Genomic DNA, 23,906 nt, shown 5'->3' with positions numbered 1-23,906 from the left:
TCCAGTTACTAAGGATGGTTTTATTTACACCTTTAGCATTTCATTTCAAGAAGTTGATATTAAAGAAATCCTCATCATAATAATAACCCATGGAGTAATGCATGTCAACTCTGCAAAACTAGAACGTAGCCACTTTAAATATACTTAACACATGACAGCATTCTCAGTCTTGGTTTCTTCTTGCAGATGAAGTTGAAAGGAAGCTCAATCCAACTCTCAGACAAAAAGCTTTGTCAGATATGCCAAAATCCCTTTTGTGAGCCTGTGTTTGTTAGATACCCAAATGGTGGTCTTGTGCACACCCACTGTGCCGCCAGCAGACACACAAACCCCAGCTCATCCAGTCCTGGCACTCGGACTTGAAAAGCTTGGCCCAAGGGTGCGAGGGGAACTCCGAGTTCTTTCTGAGCCTGCTGGACATGAAGAGCAGATGACCACCATGCTCTGTGTCAGCCAGGACGAAGGGAGACATCTGGGTGCCAGGGAGCCTTCCGTCCATACGCAACAAGGACTCCTCGCTGCTGACCAGGCTCTATGAATGTACATGGAATGACCAGGCTCTATGAATGTACATGGAAAACCCCTAAAAATCCCCAAAACAGAAACATACAAGAGTTCACCTGTCCAGGTACATAGTAATCCAAGACAGAGGTCTACTTTGAAAAAAAAAAAAAGGGAGTCTTCCTCATGCAGTCCAGACCCAGGTGGGGGATCCCCCACCACCCCCACACTCCAACCTTTAGACTCATGTTTGCACTGGAAACGTGGCTTCACCATGGCTGGCGACAAAGTCCTCTCTTGCCTGGGTGAGTGGCGAGGGCACAGAGCCTCATGGGGGTCAGCCTTGCCCTCCTGCAGAAACACGTTCTCCATCCACGCCGCTCACTCATGGGCCCATTTCCCAGGGTTACCTCGTGGGCTCTGCCTTTGCCCTCAGAAACGGCTGACCCTGGAGAAGTACCTTTGTTCCTTCTTTCTTCCTCTCCGGCTCTCAGCTCCCAAAAGATTCTGCCTTGTGTACCCAAGCACTCACTCTTGGGTGAACTAATGCTTCTGGCTGCCTAGCAAGTGAAGATCTGTTGAGAAACTGAGAACGCTCCAAGAGAGAAGCTGCTCTCCCCTCCTTGAAGAAGCCGCGGACACGGGAAACCCACGGCGGGCAAGGGCCCAGCTGTGTGCTCCTTTCCTGTCATGGCATCTGCTGATTTGAAACTCCATGACGAACACGTTGAACTAAACATTTTTATTTAAATTTGTATCATGTTCGTAGTTGCTCTCTTGTTGAGAGAGTCATCTGTCCTGTTTGTTAGGGGTATTTTTTCTTGTTAAAATGTATCTCCTGTTGAATACTCGGGAAATTCAAAGGGAAGTGTGGTCAGCACACACTGAGCGTTCTTTTCTGGAGAGGCCGGTTTTAGCCTCGTACCTTTAGCAGGACCGACAGCGGGTGGAAGGGCCCGTGTGCTGGATGGGGGTGTCGCCTCCTGGATGGCACACCCTCCCGAGGACATCCAGACAGGCTGTGTCACCCTCCAGCACTTTATGTGCCTGCTCTGAGGTGTCCTGAACACACAGCAACGGCCTCTCCTTCATCACAGGCCGGGGATTCCTTTTGTGTTTCTGTATAACATCGATGACGAGCTGAAGCTGTTGTCACTTCACTGCCCTCTTTGGAATTTCTTCATTGTGCTGACTGATTCTATTAGGGGCTAACAATAAAGGCAGTCTACCCACTACTATCATGCTTGGGAAACAAGCGTCAGCTTGTACATATGACAAGAGAGGACCCTGAATACACCCTCTCTTCATCAGCCCAAGCCTTACTGAGGTGGGATGAAGACCTCATTCTCTGTTCTTTAAAACATGTTTCGTGAACTAATATTGGTCCATGTATTTTTTGTCCTTTTGGGACTCTAAGTGGGTCAAGAAGCAAAAACATCCATGTGTTGTTTGGGGGGAATTGGCACCATTTTTTCCTGACTATGTTTCAATTAACTAAAGAATAAATGATGAAGAAATTCTCCTTGTAGCACAACTGTATGCTGTGTAAATTGGTGTGAGCTCAAAGCCCAGTCATGTGTTTTACCTGTGGGTGACTCTGTTGTAGAATGGTCATATTACTGCATATGTTATCATGACAACTTGTGAGTTTGAGTTTATATTTCTCAAAGAACAAGTTACCCGTATATGCAACATTGCGCCATTAAAAGCTTATTTCTCTGTACACAAAATGGGTAAAATCTTGAAAAAACTTAGTAATTTCTCATTCCTAACACACAGACAGAGTCTCACTCTGTCACCCAGGCTGGAGTGCAGTGGCGCAATCTCGGCTCACTGCAACCTCCACCTCCTGGGTTCAAGCGATTCTGCTGCCTCAGCCTCCCGAGTAGCTGGGACTACAGGTGCATGCCACCACGCCCAGCTAATTTTTGTATTTTTAGTAGAGACGGGGTTTCACCATGTTGGCCAGGATGGTCTCGGTCTCCTGACCTCGTGATCTGCCTGCCTCGGCCTCCCAAAGTGCTGGGATTACAGGCGTGAGCCACTGCGCCCAGCCAACACTAGTCATTTTTATTTTTTCACTGAACATTGATCAATACTCTAAAATGTTTGTCATCCTTTAGAATAATGGGAATTAAAGTTGAGCAGTTTTCCATCTCTACCAAATCCTTCACCACAAGCAGCATTCTATTACAGTATGAAGAATTGTCTCATATGTTAAAACTGTACTTTTCTCTAACCTTTCTCTCACTCCTACAAGGCCCTTTTCTCAAATCATATTTCTGAGAGAAATGTATGGTTCTTTCTCACAGGCCTGCTGATTTGTAACTGTGCCATCGAATAGAGCAATTAGATCCATCAGACCTTTTTCCCCTCATTAGGTTCAGTGGAACCATTCTGGTTAAAACAGCATGAACTGAACTCAGTTTACATTCATATTCTATGGGCAATACCATTTGGTTTTTGGAACTGTTTATCTGCTGTTCCCTATCAAGTATTAATGTAGGGATGTCACTCAGGCTGCGTTGCACTGGGCTGAGTTCAACTGCGACGCTCTCACTGACGCGTGCTTACATGTGCTTCTCACTTCCGGAGCACAGGCAGGTGGCTGCGGGGTCCCAGCTCTGAATGGATGCCCATGATGCAACTGGGGCAGCCCTTGCTTTTTGCTTGCTCTCCCACAGAAACCTTTGTCCTTGCAACTTTATCCTTTGTCCCGATTGGGTCCCAGATACACAAAATGTACAAATGTAAACTTGCTCATTTTATTAAAATTCTTTTAGTTCTTTGTTCTTTCTGTAATTTTTTAAAATAAAAATTGCCTTGATGGAGTGATGGTTTTCACTCGCACCATACCTAGTCTAAATAAAGAGTTCTAGAATCTGTACCTTCTTGCTTTTCCTAGCACCTACAGAGGACTTGAGTTGCCAACCCCTTAAATTCTGCTATTGTTTTACCAAATTTTAACGTGTCTGCTTCTGAATTTACCCAATGCATATTTTAGGGTGCTCCTTGACATTGGTTGCCATCAGATTAATCATGCACTGAGGAATTCAACCAGGGAGACTTCTGATTACTTCTTATCTACTTTACCTTTTAGCCAGATACTCTTAAATAAGGCTGCACTCTTGGATTTCTAACCCTGAGCATATTCAAAGAACATAACTCTTACAAAATCGTACCTTTTAAATTTTGCTTCATCCCCTACACTGTTGTTGATGGCAGGTCTTTCAGCTATCCTGTTGAATTTCAGAGCACTTTCTCATGTTCTTTAATTCCAGGTGCTATTCCCACCCTGAAGAAAGGGGTATGTTCACACACATGATAATCCTCTGAGTTGTTTTGTTTTGTTTTTTATGAGATGGAATTTCGCTCTTGTTGCCTATGCTGGAGTGCAATGGTGTGATCTCGGCTCACTGCAACCTCCACCTCCCGGGTCCAAGTGATTCTCCTGCCTCAGCCTCCCGAGTAGCTGGGATTACAGGTGCCCGTCCACCACACCCAGCTAATTTAAAAAATATATATTTTTAATAGAGACAGAGTTTCACCATGTTGGCCAGGCTGGTCTTGAACTCCTGACCTCAGGTGATCCACCTGCCTTGGCCTCCTAAAATGCTGGGATTACAGGCGTGAGTCACCATGCTTGGCCCCCCGAGTATTCTGACCCTATTTCATTTCAGTGGATTGGGGTGAATCCCAAATACGTGTGAATAGAGGCAAGGTGTCATGAACTCACGCATACTTGAATTTGAAGAAGCTGAGGTGCAGTGTGTCAAGCGTGTTTTCTTGGAGTTGGAGGAGGTGCCAAGCTAGATCTGTGGCTCCCACCTGCAGGTCCTCCCACCTGGGGCTTCACCAACCATGAGGAGATAACCAGAACACAGCCCAGGGTGGACTCGCATTGGCTTTTAGATTCCAACCATCGCATTGCGGTTTTTAGAAAATCATAAAGCAGCAGGTGCAATATTCTTTTCTCATTTTTACCTCATTGGTATCTGAAGGCCCATTAGCATATTAGAGAATAAGTAAGAGGGGGCCTTTAGACTTATAAACCTGACTGGAAAGGAAGACATGTAGATTCACACTAACTGCATTGTGAGAATGTTACAACGGCAGATTAGGCTAAGTGGTTGGAGAGAGAGTATGTAAATTGATGTCCTAAATGTGTCTGTCAGTGAAAGCAAAGACTGGTGTCTGACTCAGTTAAATGGGCTGTGACTCGTGTTAGAGTAATTAGATATTAACTAACACCCCATTTGCTCTTAGCAGATCTGTCAGCCTTAGCGTTTGAAACGAAATTGTACAAGAATCTAGACCATATGGACTAGAGGCCCTTTCACCTTCTCAAAACAGCTAACTGGCTGGAGCACCGTCCAAGGCTTAGCAGTTGTTGGGAGATAAGCACTTGAATTAATGAAGCCTACTTTTCCTTAGCTTGCAACTGGGGGAGGGAAACAAATAGCTATCATTCAGCCTGCAGTCCAGAGTCGTAAATTAGTTAAATGAGATCACGTGGCAAGAAGAGCTTGGAAAGCAACGCACGCAACTCAACAGGACGAGCATGACTTGAGAAGTCAAATGTCAGGTGTCGGGAGCGTGGGCTTCTTGGGGCTCTGACACACCTGGCTGTGGTCCTCAGCAAGTCAGGTCACCCAGACTTCCGTGCCTGCGTCAGTCCATTTTTGCATTGCTCTCAATAAATATTCGAGACTGGATAGTTTATAAAGAAAAGGTTTGTTTGGCTCATTGTTCTACAGGCTGTACAGGAAGCGTGGTGCTGGCATCTGCTTCTGGGAAGGCCTCAGGAAGCTTCCAGCCATGGTGGGAGGCCAAGGGGGAGCAGATGCATCACATGGCAAGAGCTGGAGAGAGACAGTGAGGAGGAGGTGCCAGACTCCTTTAAACAGCCAGCTCTCACGTGAACTAACAGAGTGAGAACTCACTCTTTACCACGGGGAGGTAATTCGTGAGGGATTCGTCCCCGGGTTCCAATACCTCCCACTAGGCCCCACCTCCAACACTGGAGGTTAATTTCAGCATGAGATTTGGAGGGCGACACGCATCCAAACCATATCAGTGGCATCGTCCATAAGCAGGAGGTGGAGCTGGGCAGTATCTGAGTTCCCTTCTCGTGTTAACCTTCTGTTCCAAGCAATGGAAGTCAGGGCAGGGTAGCAGTGTGGTCTCAGTCTTCATTACCAAAAGATGTCCTCTAGGACCAGGGTCTCAGGTGGCCCTTGAAAGCACCCAGCACAGGGACTCATGCACACATCCCACAGATGTGCCCCCACAGGTGTGTCTGAGCACTCCGGAATCTCATTGCATGGTTCCTTGATTTGGAAAGTGACTCTAGCCCACTCTACTCCTCAATCCCGGTTCCAGCTGGACCCAGGAGAGGAGTTGGTCTACACATACCTTTTTTCAAGTGGTTTTCAGTTGCCCCTTTTCCTCCAGCCTCTGCCTTGCCTTGCCTTGCCTGTCCTGTCCTTTTTTGAGATGGAGTCTTGCTCTGTCGCCCAGGCTGGAGTGCAGTGGCGTGATCTCGGCTCACTGTGACTTCTACCTCCCGGGTTCAAGCGATTCTCCTGCCTCAGCCTCCCGAGTAGCTGGGACTACTGGTACATGCCATCATGCCCAGCTAATTTTTGTATTTTTAGTAGAGATAGGGTTTCACTATGTTGGCCAGGTTGGTCTTGAACTCCTGACCTTAAGTGATCCTCCTACCTCGGCCTCCCAAAGTGCTGAGATTACAGGCTTGAGCCACTGTGCCCGGCTCCCCTTGCCTTTTCTCATGTGCTCTAGGTTTCACAAGTCCTTCCTCTTTCTCTAGAGAACATTTTCCATTTGTCTTGCTTGAAATATCAGTTTTTCCCTTTCGGAATCCATGTGTGTGCAACGAAGCTGGGGTGGCCAATCCCCAACCTGACCTCAACAGGAATGTGAGCTAAGATGACGCTACGTGCTTTGAGCTGACTCACCCAGCCCCTGCCTCTGTCTGGTTGCCCACACATGTTTATGATTTACCTCCACAGCAATGTGCATGATAGAACTGGGGTGGTCAGTTGGCCTACCCTCCCTCACTCCCGCCTCTGCAGCCAGCACATTATGGTAAAACCCCACCAACTATTTCCAAACTGTTTTTTAATATGTTGCTGACTTACAGGCAGCTATTGACTGAAGCTTATAAACGAATATAACTGAAATCCTAAACTTACTTTCTTAACACAGAGTACAGGAGAGCATTTCTCAGTTGTTTACAAGACATAATGATGTACACCTCAAAAGAGATTCAGTTTCTTTGACTTCAGTCAGTTTACAAGAATGTATTCCCTTTATATGAGTAAACATAGTCAGAAACTCAAATTTTATGCCCTCCCCAAAAAAGACAGGTTATCATATTACTGGCCTGGCTATATTTAAGTGCATTTTGCATGTATGTTAATATTCTTGCCATTTTCATAGTATTTTTTTTATTGTGGTAAAATATACATAACATTAAGTTTATCATTCTAACAATTTTTAAGTGTGTAGTTCTGTGGCATAAATACATTTACATTGTTATGCAATCATCATCACCATGCATCTCCAGAACTTTTTGTATCATCCCGAACAGAAACCCTGTCCCCATTAAACATTGACTCCCTGTTTCTCCCTCCCCAGCCCCTGACACCCACCATTCTACTTTCTATCTCTATGAGCTTGACTATTCTAGGTGTCTCATAAAAGTGGAATCACACAGTGTGTGTCCTTTTGTGACTGGCTTATTTCACTTGACATAATGTCCTCAAAGTTCACCCATATTGTAGCATACGTCAGAATTTTCTTCCTTTTTTATGGAGACAGAATCTCACTCTGTCACCCAGGGTGGAGTGCAGTGGCAAGATCTCAGTTCACTGCAACCTCCGCCTCCCGGGTTCAAGGGATCCTCCTGCCTCAGCCTCCAAGTAACTAGGATTATAGGCGCATGCCACCATGCCTGGCTAATTTTTTGTATTTGTGGTAGAGACAAGGTTTCACCACGTTGGCCAGGCTGGTCTCGAACTCCTGACCTCAAGTGATCTGCCCGCCTCAGCCTCCCAAAGTACTGGGATTACAGGCATAAGCCACCATGCCCAGCCATGAATTTTCTTCCTTTTTAACACTGAATAATATTCCATTTCATGATTTTAAAATAGTGTAGTCACCAAGAGTGTATGTGCATAGACTCTTTGCATGTATTTTATATAAAATTAGAATTTCTATTTTTTATATTCATATCAACATAGAAAAATATAACCCTATATCAGCCCATCTAACAGTCGTCTGCTTATTGTCCTAATCCCTTCTATTGGGTCCAAACAGACCAACAAGCAGAGCTCATGAATGGTCTAAGGTGGTCCCTTGAAAATGGGTTCAAAATCCTTTGCCAACAAGGAAAGGCACAAAGGTTTCCCCATCCATGATGTGACACTTGTTCCTATGCAGAGGTCTGTGTAAAGCTGATTCAGAACGAGATCCAGACTAACTTACAGGAAAATGTGGCCAGAGACAGGGCAGCTGCTGCCCTGTAGGTCAGAGCAGATGACAGAGTGGCCACCTGCCCTGTGTGTTTCATTAGCAGGTCCCCTAATGAAGGTTTGCACATTTTCCATCTTTTTTCCCAACCCCTCTTCATATAAACCTCTACAACATCTTTTGGGAAGGGAAGGAGGTGTGTTGTGTGCCCAGATCTCTAGTCATGCCCCTTCTTGGATGGTTGCTTCAGCTAGTAGGGTTCCAATTCCTGTTTTTGAGAGGGTCACCACTGCATGACATCTGGAAGTGCAGAGAGCTGCTGAAGCTGATCACAGGACAGTAAGGGGACATTTATCCTCACTTTCCTGGGAGGGCAAGAAGTGACTTTGCAGGCAGTATAGACAGCATGCGTGTTTGTGTCTGGGCTTGGGAGGGGAAGGGCTGGTATTCACTTCTCCCTGTGTATCAGTCGGGGCGCAGCGCCTCAGCAAATTAGAACCAGCCTGTTTCCTTGGTCAGGCTCCTTCTCCCACTGCTGTGGTGTCTTGATGCTGTAGATTTCCTAACATATTTCCACACCTGCATTGCAGGCCAGTGTCCTGGGCGATTCCGTGTGGAATAGACCACAGCAAAGGTTATGCAATTACAGAGGGAAGGTTGGCTGTCACATCACATCAAACTTGAGAGCCTCCTGTAAACCCATCATTATCTCTGCTCCCATAACTGTAATTTCATGCAACTCAACATTGGAAACATGCAGTGGCAGTGCCAGTTTCCCATCTGTGCTCGATTTGCGCCTACTGGTGTAATTTTCAGGTATCTTGTGTTTACACAAATGCTGGAAAACAAGCTGCTTCTTAAGCAGCAACCGACAGGGAAGGTCAGCTTTTCCCACTGCCATGGCCGTGCCAGGATGCACATTGCAACAGGCAGGGTTCTCCAGAGAAAGAGAACCAATAGGAGAGAGAGAGAGACAGTGTGTGTGTGTGTGTGTGTGTGTGTGTGTGTGTGTGTGTGTGTAGGGGTGGGGAGAGAAAGGGCGTGTGATTGAGAGACTGATTTATTGTGAGGAATTGGTTCAGGCCATTCTGGAGGCTGAGAAGTTTCTATGTTCTGCCATCAGCTTCTGGAGACCCAGGAAGACCTGTGACATAATTCAGTCCAAGTCTGAAGGCCTGAGAACCAGGGAGCTGATGGTCTAAATCCCAGTCTAAGGGCAGGAGAAGATGAGAGGAGATATCCCAGCTCAAGCACTGAGCCAAGTTAAGAAAAAAAAAAAGGCAAATTCCTCCTTCCTCTGCCTTCTGTTCTATTCAGGCCCTCAGTGGATTGGATGATGCCCACACATAGGGAAGGGTAGATCTTTCCTGAGGCCACCAACCCCAAAGCTAATCTCATCTGGAAACACCCTCACAGAGGCACCCAGAAAGAATGTTTAATCTGGGCATCCCGTGGCCCAGTCACATTGACACATGAAATTGACCATCACATTCATCCAGTGGGCCAGGAAGACGGAAGGATCTTTCTGTCTGGGAAGCATCTGGGGCTGATGAGCTGGCGAGTGGCCTTGTTTCCTCCTGGGGCAGAGCCTCAGCAGCAGTGACTTACTCCAAGTTTATGATCATGTTCATGCAACTGCAGAATTAGCAATAACCTGGTCATAGAGGGAGGCAGCTCAGGGACTGAGGGACTCATCAAGAACTGTGTTTCATGCAAAGGGGGCAGTTTTTCCATTTTCCATTCATTCATTCATTCATGTGTTCAATTATTCATTCATTCCACAAGTATATGTTGGGAGACTGCAGTGTGCCAGGCATTGTGCAAAGTTCTGTGGATAAAATGATGAAAAAACCAACAGGTCTTGGCAAAGACCTTGTGCTGATTTTGAACCCATTTTCAAGGGCCCACCTTAGACCATTCAGGAGCTTTGCTTGTTGGTCTGTCTGGACCCAATGGGAGGGATTAGGGCAATAAGCAGATGACTTTTAGATGGTCTGATATAGGGTTATATTTTTTATGTTGATATGAATATATGAAATAGCAATTCTAATTTTATATAAAATGCATCCAAATAGTCTATGCACATAACACTTTTGTAACTAAATATACAATTTAAAACCCATGAAATGGAATATTATTCAGTGTGAAAAAGGAAGAAAATTCTGACACACACTACAATATGGATGAATCTTGAGGACATTATGCCAAGTGAAATAAGCAAGTCACAAAAGGACACATACTGTGTGATTCCACTTCTATGAGACACCTAGAATAGTCAGGTTCATACAGATGGGAAGTAGAATGGTGGGTGCCAGGGGCTGGGAAGGGAGAAAGGGGAAATTAGTGTTTAATGGGGACAGAGTTTCTGTTCTGATGGTGGTGATGATTGCATAACAATGTAAATGTATTTATGCCACAGAACTATACACTTAAAATCTGTCAGAAGGATAAACTTAATGTTATGTATATTTTACCACCATAAAAAAATACAGTATGAAAATGGCAAGAATACTAATGTTACCAGAAAGGGGTCCGGATCCAGACCCCAAGAGAGGGTTCTTGGATCTCGCACAAGAAATAATTCAGGGCGAGTCCATAGAATAAAGTGAAAGCAAGTTTATTAAGAAAGTAAAGGAATAAAAGAATGGTTACTCCATAGAGCAGCCCCAAGGGCTGCTGGCTGCCCATTTTTATGGTTATTTCTTGATTACATGCTAAACAAGGGGTGGATTATTCATGCCTCCCGTTTTTAGACCATATAGGGTAACTTCCTGACGTTGCCATGGCATTTGTAAGCTGTCATGGCACTGGCGGGGGTGTAGCAGTGAGGACGACCAGAGGTCACTCTCATCGCCATCTTGGTTTTCGTGAGATTTAGCTGCTTCTTTACTGCAAGCTGTTTTATCAGCAAGGTCTTTATGACCTGTATCTTGTGCCGACCTTCTATCTCATCCTGTGATTAGAATGTCTAACCATCTGGGAATGCAGCCCAGTAGGTTTCAGCCTTATTTTACCCAGCTCTTATTCAAGATGGAGTGCTCTGGTTCAGACGCCTCTGACACTAACATACATGGAAAATGCACTTAAATATAGCCAGACCAGTAATATGATAACCTGTCTTTTGGGCGGGGCAGGCTTAAAATTGAGTTTTTGACTGTGTACTCATATAAAGGGAATACCTTCTTGTAAACTGACTAAAATCAAAGAAATGGAATCTCTTTAGACGTTTACATTGTTTTATCTTGTAAACAATCAGGGACAGTTACAACAGAGTGGGACAAATGCTAGAGTGGGCAGTGCGGGTAAGCCAGAAGCCCAGGAGGGGAGCCTTAAGTCGGGGAAAAGTGCCCCAGGCAGAAGGAGCAGCAGGACCAACCCTAGAAGTGAGCGAGGTGATGGCCCCTTGGAAATGAGAGAAAGGGGTCAGTTTGAGTAACCAGGACCCCAGGGAGTAACAGAGGAATGGTGAGAGATAAGGCTGGAGGGGAGGCTTTCTCCTGGTTCTAAGCAAAATAATACAAGTATTTGAGCTATGGAAAGAGCAACAATTCTACCACCCAAGAGAGCCACTGCCAACATTTCCTTCTGGTATTCTGCCTGTTCATCTTGAGCTTTGCATAGTCAAAGTTTTTTAAAACATAAGAAAGGGAGGGGGTGCAGAATGCAAATTGTTTTAGCCAATCAGCTCATCATAGAATACTTTGCTTTAAAATAGAGAGTATTAATAGAAAACGTGAGGTATGGTGAGGCCAACAGATCAGGAGATGACTGCTGCTGAACAGGTTGGTTGTTACCACAGCTCCCACGAGAAGGGGCACAGCATCCCATGCAGGGCCACATGGAGAGGCACCAGGTTGGTCAGGAGGCAGAGGAAGGGGTGGGGAATGTGGTCAGGAGCCTTCCCGTGGTTGTGGCTTCCATGGGAAGGAATGGGAGAGACAGGGTGAGCAGGCTTAGGATTGGCTGGTTTGATTTCAGTGGGCTTTGGGGTGCAGGGGCTTCCCTAATTGTTTGGTACCTGGCTCTGGGGTGATTGGCACAGGTGGATGGCGACCCCATGGGTGAGAGCTCCATAAAGGAGGTGGTTGGGGTGTAAGCCCTGGAATGGTTGTTTTGCATTTGAAAAGCATTCTTTGGTGGGGTGGCTCATATCTGTAATCTCACCACTTTGGGAGGCCAAGGGAGGAGGACCGCTTGAGGCCAGGAGTTCGAAACCAGCCTGGACAACATAGTGAGACCTCATCTTTACAAAAAGTAAAACGTTAGTCAGGTGTGGTGGCACATGCCTGTATTCCCAGCTACTCAGGAGGCTGAGGCAGGAGGATCACTTGAGCCCAGGGGTTTGGGGCTGCAGTGAGCCATGATTGTACCACTGCACTCCATTGCACTGTGGGCAACACAGTGAGACCCTGTCACTGAAAAAAAAAGAAAGAAAGGAAAGCTTGCTTGTGGGCGAGCTGTTTACTGCCTCTAGGAATTGGCTGATGCTGGGAGGGGCAGTCTGTCCTCTAGGGTCAGCAAGGGCCCAGTTATCAAAGCATCAGTTACAGAAAATAGAAAATATGGTTACTATATCTTTTTGATTAGGCCACTGGGACAGCTGAAATTGTATTCTGCTTCTCAGGACAGAGAATAGAACATTAAAATTTTCATATACTTCTCACAACAAGGCAGAAAAGTTTGCCTCCGAGTATCTGTCTTAGTCAGCTTGGTCTGCTGTAACAAAATACCACAGACTGCAGACTTAGGCAACAGAAACTTAGTTCTCACAGTTCTGGAGGCTGGAAGTCCAAGACCAAGATGCCAGCAGATTCAGTTCCTGGAGAGGGCTCTCTTCCTGGCTTCAGATGGCCCCTTTCATGCTGCGTCCTCACATGGCAGAGAGAGGAAGCTCTGGGGTCTCTACCTCTTTTCCTAATTCATCATGGGGGCCTCACCCTCATGACCTAATCACTTCCCAAAGGCCTCACCTCCTAAGGCCATCACATTGTGGGTGAGGATTTCAACATATGAATTTGGCAAGGGAGACGCAATTCATGCCATAGTAGTAGGAAGGGGCCAGAAACAGGACACGAGTCTGGAAACCCTTCCTAGGCCAGCCTGGCAGGCAGAAAGCATACTTACTTCTGCTTGTTCAAAGGGTTTCTTGAGTCTAGGTGACTCAAATGGGCCTGAAGTGGCCACGAGCAATTCTTCCAGCCCAAATTGGTTTCTGGGAGGTGCAAAATACTTTCAATAATTGTTTCTTTTATACTCTCCTATATATAATTAGTAAATATATATTAATTGGTCTTAGCTTTTGTAAAACTGCAAAGTTCTTGAATAATGCCTCCTAAGTCAAAAAGGCTGTGTTTGCTCTCCCCAGTACCTTCTTAACCTGATTCATAATCCAACCTGTGGCCCAAAGGAGCCTGACACAGCCTGCCTGTGAGGGCCAGGGGTGGCTGATGAGAAGTACTTCGTGACCTCTCCAAGACTTTCCCATGGTTCTGGGAATTCTCCAGCTCAGCTGGTGAGAGAATAACTTGACACTAACTTTCTGAAAAGCGATTTTATTATGGCACCAGAAACCACCATTTCCACTTTTAGAAGTTTATTTTAGGAAAATGATCAGCAGCTAGGCAGAAAAATTTATGTCAAGGATGCTCATTATAGCATTTGTTTAAATGGTAAAAAATAGAAAAAAAAAAAACCTTGAATATCCAAAATAGGAAGCCTTAAGTATCAGAGGCATATCACCACAATGGAGAACTCCTGGCCACCAGAAATCACTTCCAAAAATGGTACAAAAGCAAACAAAACCAAAACAAAGATAAAAACCGGGCCACAAAGTTGTGATGCTGTATGATCTGAATTTTGCAAAAGAAAAAGCATATTTTTATACATAATAATAAAACTAGTTTTAAAAACCCTCCAATAAACACACTGGTTGTTTGGTTTTTGTTTTGTTTTTACAAGGAGCACGTTACTTTTATAATTTTAAAGAATCAGGAGATAAAATTTTTTTAAACTAGGAGGCCAGGTTCATTGGCTAATGCCTGTAATCCCAGTGCTTTGGGAGGCTGAGGTGGGGGAATTGCTTGAGCCGAGGAGTTCCAGATGAGCCTGGGCAACATAGTGAGACCCTCTTTCTACAAAAAACGTTTTAAAATTTAGCCAGGCATGGTGGCACACGCCTGTAGTCCCAGCTACTCAGGAGGCTGAGCTGGGAGGATTACTTGAGCCCAGGAGTTTAAGGCTGCAGTAATCTATGATCACGCCACTGTATTCCAGCCTGGGAGGAAGAGTGAGACCCTGTTCTTTAAAAAAAACAAACAAGGCCAGGCGCGGTGGCTCACACCTGTAATCCCAGCACTTTGAGAGGCCGAGGCAGGCGAATCACCTGAGGTCAGGAGTTTAAGCCCAACCTGGCCAACATGGTGAAACCCTGTCTCTACTAAAATACAAAAAATTAGCCAGGTGTCATGGCACATGCCTGTAATCCCACCTACTCGGGAGTCTGAGGCAGGAGAATCACTTGAACCCGGGAGGCGGAGGTTGCAGTGAGCCGAGATCGCACCACTGCACTCCAGCCAGGGCAACAGAGCTAGTCTCCATCTCAAAAAACAAGCAAACAAAAAACTAAGGGGCATTTATTCATATATGTCATTCTTGTACACAATTTATAACTTAAGTTTTAAGATGTTAGTATCACCTTGGCTGGGCGTGGTGGCTCACGCCTGTAATCCCAGCTCTTTGGGAGGCTGAGGCGGGCAGATCACGAGGTCAGGAGATCGAGACCATCCTGGCTAACACGGTGAAACCCCGTCGCTACTAAAAATACAAAAAAAATTGTCCGGGTGTGGTGGTGGACCCCTGTAGTCCCAGCTACTCGGGAGGCTGAGGCAGGAGAATGGCGTGAAGCTGGGAGGTGGAGGTCGCAGTGAGCCGAGATCACGCCACTGCATTCCAGCCTGGGCGACAGAGAAAGACTCTGTCTCAAAAAAAAAAAAAAAAAAAGATGTTAATATCATCTCACATCACAGGAAGGGCTGGTATCTGCTTATTGCATGGTTTAAGGAGAAGGAAACCAGAGAAGAAGGTAGGGGAATGAAGAGGACATGCAGGCAAAAGGAGGCTCCCATGAAGTATAACAGAGATTTAGAGATGAGTGGGACAAAAAATCATGGATCATCATCCTGGGGAATGTGGAAGCAGCCAGGGGCCCCATCTGGGCTTGGCTGGAGGGAAACCGCATGGTGCCCACAGCCACCTGTGTGGGTCTGAAGGGAATGCATTCCGGCACTCCCCAGAACCCCCTGCAAGGGGGAAAGGACTTTCTAGTGGCCTAGACTGGCTGCTCCCCAAGAGCCCCTTCAGATTCCAGAGAGAATTCCAAGGCCTTGGGGAAAAAGAGCCTCCTGTTTCAGATAGTTTCAAAGCAAATTAAGCTTCCCATTGTTCCTTGTGCATTTTTAAAATCATTCAGTCTTTTTATCTTGTACAGTGAGCTTAGTGACTCTCTTGTTATGGTGTAATAAAGCATCTAAAGTCTTCATGAGACCACCGCAAAAATGCCAAAAGGAGGAAATACGGCAGCAGTATTTTATTTTATTTTATTTATTTATTTTTTTTATTGATCATTCTTGGGTGTTTCTCGCAGAGGGGGATTTGGCAGGGTCACAGGACAATAGTGGAGGGAAGGTCAGCAGATAAGTGAACAAAGGTCTCTGGTTTTCCTAGGCAGAGGACCCTGCGGCCTTCCGCAGTGTTTGTGTCCCTGGGTACTTGAGATTAGGGAGTGGTGATGACTCTTAACGAGCATGCTGCCTTCAAGCATCTGTTTAACAAAGCACATCTTGCACCACCCTTAATCCATTCAACCCTGAGTGGACACAGCACATGTTTCAGAGAGCACAGGGTTGGGGGTAAGGTCACAGATCAACAGGATCCCAAGGCAGAAGAATTTTTCTTAGTACCGAACAAAATGAAAAGTCTCCCATGTCTACCTCTTTCTACACAGACATGGCAACCATCCGATTTCTCAATCTTTTCCCCACCTTTCCCCCCTTTCTATTCCACAAAACCGCCATTGTCATCATGGCCCCTTCTCAATGAGCTGTTGAGTACACCTCCCAGACGGGGTGGCGGCCGGGCAGAGGGGCTCCTCACTTCCCAGTAGGGGCGGCCGGGCAGAGGCGCCCCTCACCTCCCAGACGGGGTGGCTGGCCAGGCGGGGGGCTGATCCCCCCCCACCTCCCTCCCAGACGGTGTGGCTGCCGGGCGGAGACGCTCCTCACTTCTCAGACGGGGCGGTTGCCAGGCAGAGACGCTCCTCACCTCCCAGACGGGGCGGCAGGGCAGAGGTGCTCCCCACATCTCAGACAATGGGCGGCGGGGCAGAGGCGCTCCCCACATCTCAGACGATGGGCGGCCGGGCAGAGACGCTCCTCACTTTCCAGACTGGGCAGCCAGGCAGAGAGGCTCCTCACATCCCAGACGATGGGCAGCCAGGCAGAGACGCTCCTCACTTCCCAGACGGGGTGGCGGCCGGGCGGAGGGGCTCCTCACTTCCCAGACGGGGCGGCCGGGCAGAGACTCTCCTCACATCCCAGACGGGGCGGCAGGGCAGAGGCGCTCCCCACATCTCAGACGATGGGCGGCGGGGCAGAGATGCTCCTCACTTTCCAGACGGGGTGGCGGCCGGGCAGAGGCTGCAATCTCGGCACTTTGGGAGGCCAAGGCAGGCAGCTGGGAGGTGGATGTTGTAGCGAGCCGAGATCACGCCACTGCACTCCAGCCTGGGCACCATTGAGCACTGAGTGAACGCGACTCCGTCTGCCATCCCGGCACCTTGGGAGGCCGAGGCTGGCAGATCACTCGCGGTTAGGAGCTGGAGACCAGCCCGGCCAACACGGCGAAACCCCGTCTCCATCAAAAAAATACGAAAACCAGTCAGGCGTGGCGGCGCGCGCCTGCAATCGCAGGCACTCGGCAGGCTGAGGCAGGAGAATCAGGCAGGGAGGTTGCAGTGAGCCGAGATGGCAGCAGTACAGTCCAGCTTTGGCTCGGCATCAGGGGGAGACCGTGGAAAGAGAGGGAGAGGGAGACCGTGGGGAGAGGGAGACCGTGGGGAGAGGGAGAGGGAGAGGGAGAGGAGGGAGAGGGAGAGGAGGGAGAGGGAGAGGAGGGAGAGGGAGAGGAGGAGCCTTTCCAATTTTCTTTCCTTCCTTCCCGGCAGCAGTATTTTAATGAGGGAGGAAATGAGAAATATATTCCTCCAAAGGACCATGAATAAAGAACAGCAGGACTTTCTTTTAAAAAATGCTTCCGAAAATGAACTTGGTTATTTTTCCTAGACAGGAATAGCTGGCAGAGGGACAGCAGATGCCAGAGGCAGCAGCAGAGAGAACGGAGATGGAACATAGAGACCCAGGGCAAGTAATTTGTTCTCATTAACTGGACCTTGGGGATCTTCAGGAGTTTACCTGAACACCCAGGAGGCTGAACTTGCATATCAGTGCCCTCGGATTGGTGGATGCAGAAGGTAAAGTTCTGGTCTCATCTAAGTGTTTCTCACACAGATAAGTTCTTTCCGTTCTTATCAGACTAACTAAGAGAAGTCTGTGCTGCAGCTCCTACTGGTTCCCTCTTTGACCATGGCAATCGCTGGCACCTCTCCTATTCCTAGAACACCTTGTTCCCTGCTCCTCCCAGATGAAGGGGCAAGAGAGCAGAAAGGACATTGGAACTCTCTGCTAAAGTAACCTTGGACACCAGCCCATAATAATGCACACACCTGTGCATGCACGCACACACATGCACACACCATACTTTTGCATGCAAACATCCTTCTATTCTTACAGAATCCAGATGCTGACCTCCCAGTGAGGGTTCCCAAGCCCTCCGTCCACTGGAATAGTTAAATTATGGTGCCCTGGCCTGAACCCCGCGCATACTCTGTGGTGCTCCCTCTGTGCCGTGGCCACCAGCCTCCACCTTTCAACAGCCAGAGCATTGAAACTACCTTCTTTCCTTTAATGTAATCAAATTCTTGGGCAGAGTTGATCGTAATCAGTGTTGACTGTTTGTTATTTTAAATAGTAATTTTTTTTCTTATCCTGGCAAAGTTCATCTCCTTGTGGCTCCAGATTTTCAGTCTAGTTATTTTATGTCTTCCACCATTTGTGTCTGAAAGGTTAAATGTGGTGCCTTTTTTTCCTTACCGCATGCATAAATGCATGTATTTTCTGTATTTGGACGTAGAACTCTGTGTGTTGGGGGCTGGGATAAAGAAAGAGGCAACCATCTTTGGCTGATGTGTTAGAGATATGCTTACTTTACAATAAACAAAGGCTCTTTGTGAAATTCGTAGTTTGTATGTGTTGCTAGGATCTCCTGTTTTTTTCAAAATTGTGTAATGTTTTGGCAGACACTGCCAGGTGTCCACCAAATCCTTCCCGTCTTTTTTTTTTTTTTTTTTTTTTTTGATAGAGTTTCTCTCTGTTGCCCAGGCTGGAGTGCAATGGCGCCATCATGGCTCACTGCAGCCTTGACCTCCTAGGCTCAAGTAATCCTCCTGCCTCAGCCTCCTGAGTAGCTGGGACTGCAGGTGTGAACCACCACGTTTGGCTAATTTTTGTATTTTTTTGTAGAGACAGGGTCTGCACTATGTTGCTTAGGCTGATCTTTAACTGAACTCTTGGGCTTAAGCTATCCTCCTGCCTAGGACTCCCAAAGTGCTGTCCTTATAGATGTGAGCCACTGCACCCAGCTCCCATCTTCTTCCACAGTAGGTTGCAGCTGGGCAGACGGCCTCCCGATGAGGGACTCCATTTCCCAGGCTCCTTTGCAGCTAGGTGTGGCCAGCAGCCTCCACTCTTGGTGGTGGAAGACCAGGGTGGAGTGTGGGGTGTCTTATTGCACATGCTCCCCCTCCTCTTCCCCCTCCTCATGAGCCGGAACATGGAAGTGGCTGCAGCCCAGAGTGACCATAAAGATAAGGACAGTGCCCCGGGGACAGTGGGAAACTAGATGGAAGGCAACTGCATCCTAAACAACCATACAGAGCAGAGCACCCACCTGGCTGCCTGGGCTATTAATTGGAGGGAAACAAAGTTTGTCTGTTTCAGGCCCTTAGTGTTGGCTGTCTTTGTGACAGCAGCCTTTTACCCAATCTGCCTCCACCCTCCTCTTGCCTCTCTGCATTCCCAGACAGGCTCCACAGTGCCCTGGGGACCTCAGAACAGCCCTGAGAGCAGTGATGTGCACCAGAGGCTGTGTTTTCTAGGCATGGGAATGGGTTGCATCATACATCCATCTCATCCCTCTGTGCATCCCTGTGAGGTCAGCTTACAACCTAGGGAGAGTTTTGAATGGAGTGAAGTGGTGCAGTTGAGGCCAGCAAGTAGAATTTTGCTCTTTAAAGCCAAACTCATGCTCCTGGCTTCTGTGGATGTGGTGTTAGTGTCAACTCAACCCTGAAATCCTAGACCACATGAGGATGAGGAACGAGTCTGTGATATTGTGATATAATATATTATATATTTGGTCTCTGCCCCTGGTTCCTGGCCTTAGTATCTACAGAGTGGTAAGAGTGTCTGTTGTATTCTAATGAGATGACTGGTGGCTGGGGACCCCTAGGTGGCTTCAGGAGGAGGGCTGATCACTACAAAGACTGTGGCAGGATTAGAGGGTTGGGACTTTCACTCCACCCCCAAAATCTCATGAGAAGGAAGAGGGGAGAGGGGCTAAGGTTGAGTTGATCAACAATGGCCAGTGATGTAATCAGTCATGCCTATGGAATAAATCCTCCATAAAACCTGAAAAGGTCTAGGTTCAGATGGGCTTCTGAGTAGCTGAACGTGTGGAGGTCCCTGGTGGTGATCTGGGAGAGGGCGTGGAAGCTCCACATCCCTTCCCACATGCCTTGCCCTGTATCCCTTGTAATAGCTTTGTAATTAATGTGGTTTGGCTTTGTCCCCACCCAAATCTCACCTTGAATTGTAATAATCCCCACGTGTCAAGGGTAGGGCCAGGTGGAGATAATTGAATCATGGGGATGGTTTCCCCCATACTATTCTCATGGTAGTGAATAAGTCTCATGAGATCTGATGGTTTTATAAAGTCGAGTTCCCCTGCACAAGCTCTTTGCCTGCCACCATGTAAGACGTGCCTTTACTCCTCATTTGCCTTTCGCCGTGATTGTGAGGCCTCCCTAGACATGTGGAACTGTGAGTCAATTAAACCTCATTCCTTTATAAATTACCCAGTCTTGGGTATGTCTTTATTAGCAGCATGAGAACAGAGTAATACAGTAATACATGGGTAAACATAAATAAAGTTCTTCCCTGAGTTCTATGAGCAACTTCAGCAAATTAATCAAACCTGAGAAAGGGGTTGTGAGAAACTCCCATTTATAGCCTGTGGGCCAGGAGCACAGGTGACCAACTACTTGTGGTTGGCATCTGAAATGGGGGTGGTAGTCTTGTGGGACCGAGCCCTCAACCTGTGGGATCTGACTCTAACTCCAGGTAGGTAGTGTCAGTATTGAATTGAATTACAGGACACCCAGCTGCTTTCCACTAGAGAGTTGCTTGCTTTTTTGTTGTTTTTTGTTTTTTTCCAGAATGACCAAATAGCCATTTTCTCAAAGAACTTTCCACCCTTGCCCAAAAAGAACAAACCTTGGCTATCAGCAGGTTGACAGTGCAACTCTAATGCCTCTGTGTCTTCAGCATCTACCATGGACTCAGCCTTGGACTAGATCTTTTACATGTATGATATTTTTTATTCCTCACCGTGGTCTTCTGGCTGGGAGTATTTCTGCCATTTCAGAGATGAGGCAGGTGGGATACAGGAATGCCGTGTCACTTGCCCAGAAACCCACAGAGAGCGAGGTACCCTGGGGTTCAGACTGTCCTGTTTCAAGCACATACTCCACATCCCCTGTGTTTCCATAAGAGCAGAAACTGAGCACTGGGCACTCCTGCAACTGTGAGGGTTCTGGGACCAAAGTTCCCAACTACATGAACAAGGGAGCTGAGCAGTGTTGAAAATACTTAACGCAGAAGGTATTTTTAGTCCAAAAAAAAAGCACTCACCATGACTTGTGTGCAGGGAAAATACACCCAGGGCTCAGAATGGCAAAGTAAGAATTGATCTAGGTATTTGCTGCTCATCTTGGTCATCAGAACATCCTAGGGAACCTTTGATTTTGTTTCACCCTGACCTTGGGGACTACAATTCAAGATGAAAAGGTGGCAGATTTGCAGGAGTAGTTACAAATAGGAGGACACTTCTGAGACTTCCTTGTGTCTCATTTTTAAGGCAAGAATCTCCCAAGGATCCCGTGTCTGCCTCCAGGGTTATTATCATGGTCAGCCAGTTTCCAGCTCTTGCATAAGGCCCTACAAAGACAATTTAGCTGTGAAGCTGCCCAGACTTCACACAGAGTCCAGGGTTTGGGTGAACCATAGGACTAGAGAGAAGATGCAAAATAATAATAATAATAATAAATCAATGGGTTGGGCACGGTGGCTCACACCTGTAATCCCAGCACTTTGGGAGGCCGAGGCAGGCAAATCACCTGAGGTCAGGAGGTCAATATGGTGAAACCCCATCTCTACTAAAAATACAAAAATTAGCCAGGTTTGGTGGCACAGCCCTGTAATCCCAGCTACTCAGGAGGCTGAAGCAGAAGAATCGCTTGAACCCAGGAGGCGGAGGTTGCAATGAGCCAAGATCACACCACTACACTCCAGCCTGGGTGACAGAGTGAGACTGCATCTCAAAAAAATAAAACAATCAAGCAGTGCTGATCCTGCGAGTCTCAGGGAAGGAGACCAGAACCAGATATCTTGGTATCTTAGGAAATCAACGTTCGTTAAAGGTTCAAGTAAGGCCAGATAGGATTATGAAAGTGGCACACTGCAAGTCAGAGAAGACTAACTGGCTGGAGTGATTTAGCAGCATCCTAATAAAACCAAAACAAAACACCTGGGCACCCAGCTGTGACCCATGTTATTGCAACAGTCTCCCAGTTGTCATCTTATCTTTAGTCTTTCCAGCTTTGCTACTAACTTTCAGGCTCTAGACTTCCTGAAGTCTTTTGTCTTATTCAGGCATCACTATGGCCTGAATATTGGTGTCTCCAAAGCTCATGTGTTGGAAACTAATACTCAATGTGATAGTATTAAGAGATGGGGCCTTTGGGAGGTGAATGAGATTGGTGCCCCTGAAAAGAGGCTTGAGGGAGTGCCCCTTCCCTTTCTGCCATGCGAGGACACAGCAACAAGGCGTCACCTAAGAAGCAGAGCAGGAACCCTCACCAGACACTGAATCTACCTAAACCTTTATCCTGGACTTCCCAGCATCCAGAACTGGAAGAAATAAGTTTCTGTTGTTTATAAATTACCCAATCTAACACATTTTGTTACAGCAGTCTGAACAAACTGATATAGGAGTATTGGGTATTGGATCCTGGGCTTAATATGTATGGTCTTGGTGCAAATTTTGGCAAGAACTTAGGCTTATACACCGAAAGAGCAATAATACTTTATTTAAAATATATACAAAATTATTACTTTGAAACATATATATTACTGTCCAACATACATCATATAACACTGATTGATGTAAATTTTGGTACCTTCATTTATTCAGTTGTGATTTCCCTTTTGTTCAAGGCTCCTGAAGAAAATTATCTGAAATGCCCACCAGAGGGGAGGTGCCCATGGGCTTGGTCCCCTTGGTGACTTGGCTGTGCTGTTGGGCACTACTGAGGCCCTAGAGCCCTGCTCCATGGAGCTGAAGGCAAATCCCCACCTTGCTGGGGGACCTGGGGACACAGAATTGATGGAACCCACCTCCGTCGGTCACACATCAATTGCTCATCTTCTCCCTCTCTCTCCATCTGGGTATAAACAGGGAGGGAGGTGAGGGGGAACAAGTGTCAGTTATCTTCTTAACCCTCCTCTGGGCTGAAGAGGAGGGTTAAGAGAAATGATGTTTTCCCTTTCACCCCCCTTTCTTCTCTGCCCATGTTACCACTACTGCGGGAAGAAAGTATGAGAAGGAGGAGCTGGCTCTTAATGCAGTTTAGAAAGAAACGGGAAGTGAAGCAAAAATGGGGCTTCTGTGCTCTTAGGCTGAATTTGAGTTACCATGATCCTGAGATAAATCAGACAACTGCTTTTGGGCATGGCCTATGATGCCTCATTCATCACTATCTCCCGCACAGTGCCTTACACCTAGTAGGCACTTAATGCATGCTCTTTGCATGGATGAATAAATGAATGCAGGGGATCTGATGACTACAGACAGAAAACACACATTTCAGAATCAGAGTGTTTGAGAGATGAAAGGGGACATTGGAAATCATCTAGATCTGCTTCCTCATTTGGCATATGGGGAAACTGAGGCCCACAGAAATGAGAAACGATCAAGGTCAAATGACTAGTTCCTGATAGAGTCAGACCTGGAATCAGATTTTCTAAATCTCTCCTTAAATTTCCCACCCTCTTCAGATCTGGAACAATAAAGAGAGCTCAGTGGGCTCAGTGCTATGCCCTGGACTCAGGACCCTCATATGCCAGTGTGGGGACCCCTGGTGGTGGCCGAATAGAGCACAAGCAGAGAAGCCCCCTTTGGGCAACTTCACTTCTGGGATCTGGTCCCAGTAGGTAAACAGGATGGCAGCAGTGGATCTGAATGAGGTAGGAGGAACACAGAGACCAGTGGGGACCCCGAGAATTGGGCTCGTTGGTGTGGCACCTGCAGCGGGTCCAGTGCTGAAGTGGATTTGGTGGGTTGAAGGGCTCTGGAGCTCCAGGGTGTCCAAAGGAAATGTGTAAACTAAGCCCAGCCTGCTCACTGCTGACACTGAAAGCAGGTCACTACAGATGCTTGCTCAGCGGGTGAGCTATAGCACA

The 23,906-nt window shown here is 46.9% G+C and overlaps 1 protein-coding gene across 3 annotated transcripts in view, besides 1 other annotated feature; it reads left to right on the top strand.

Annotated features, from left to right (window-relative positions):
* TGFBRAP1 (transforming growth factor beta receptor associated protein 1) overlaps positions 1-18,342 on the top strand; it is an 80,332-nt gene extending 61,990 nt beyond the window's left edge. For 2 of the 3 annotated variants that reach the window (NM_001142621.3, NM_004257.6), the window contains exon 12: positions 187-3,332. In NM_001142621.3, the coding sequence (NP_001136093.1) occupies positions 187-363 (177 nt within the window). In that variant the 3' untranslated portion in view covers positions 364-3,332. Of the gene's footprint in view, positions 1-186; positions 3,333-17,333 lie in introns of those variants that run through there. The other variant, NM_001328646.3, reaches the window with a different exon arrangement.
* Positions 16,601-17,479: an enhancer, noted in NCBI's record as "H3K27ac-H3K4me1 hESC enhancer chr2:105866724-105867602 (GRCh37/hg19 assembly coordinates)". NCBI's record gives its function as "activates a minimal SCP1, AML or CMV promoter by ChIP-STARR-seq in naive H9 embryonic stem cells {active_cell/tissue: H9 hESC(naive)}" and the evidence as "EXISTENCE:reporter gene assay evidence [ECO:0000049][PMID:30033119]".

This window comes from Homo sapiens, chromosome 2 (assembly GCF_000001405.40).
Source record: "Homo sapiens chromosome 2, GRCh38.p14 Primary Assembly".
Taxonomy (NCBI): Eukaryota; Metazoa; Chordata; class Mammalia; order Primates; family Hominidae; genus Homo; species Homo sapiens.
The sequence above is the reverse complement of the archived record's forward strand: the minus strand, read 5'-3'. Positions and strand labels throughout refer to the sequence as shown.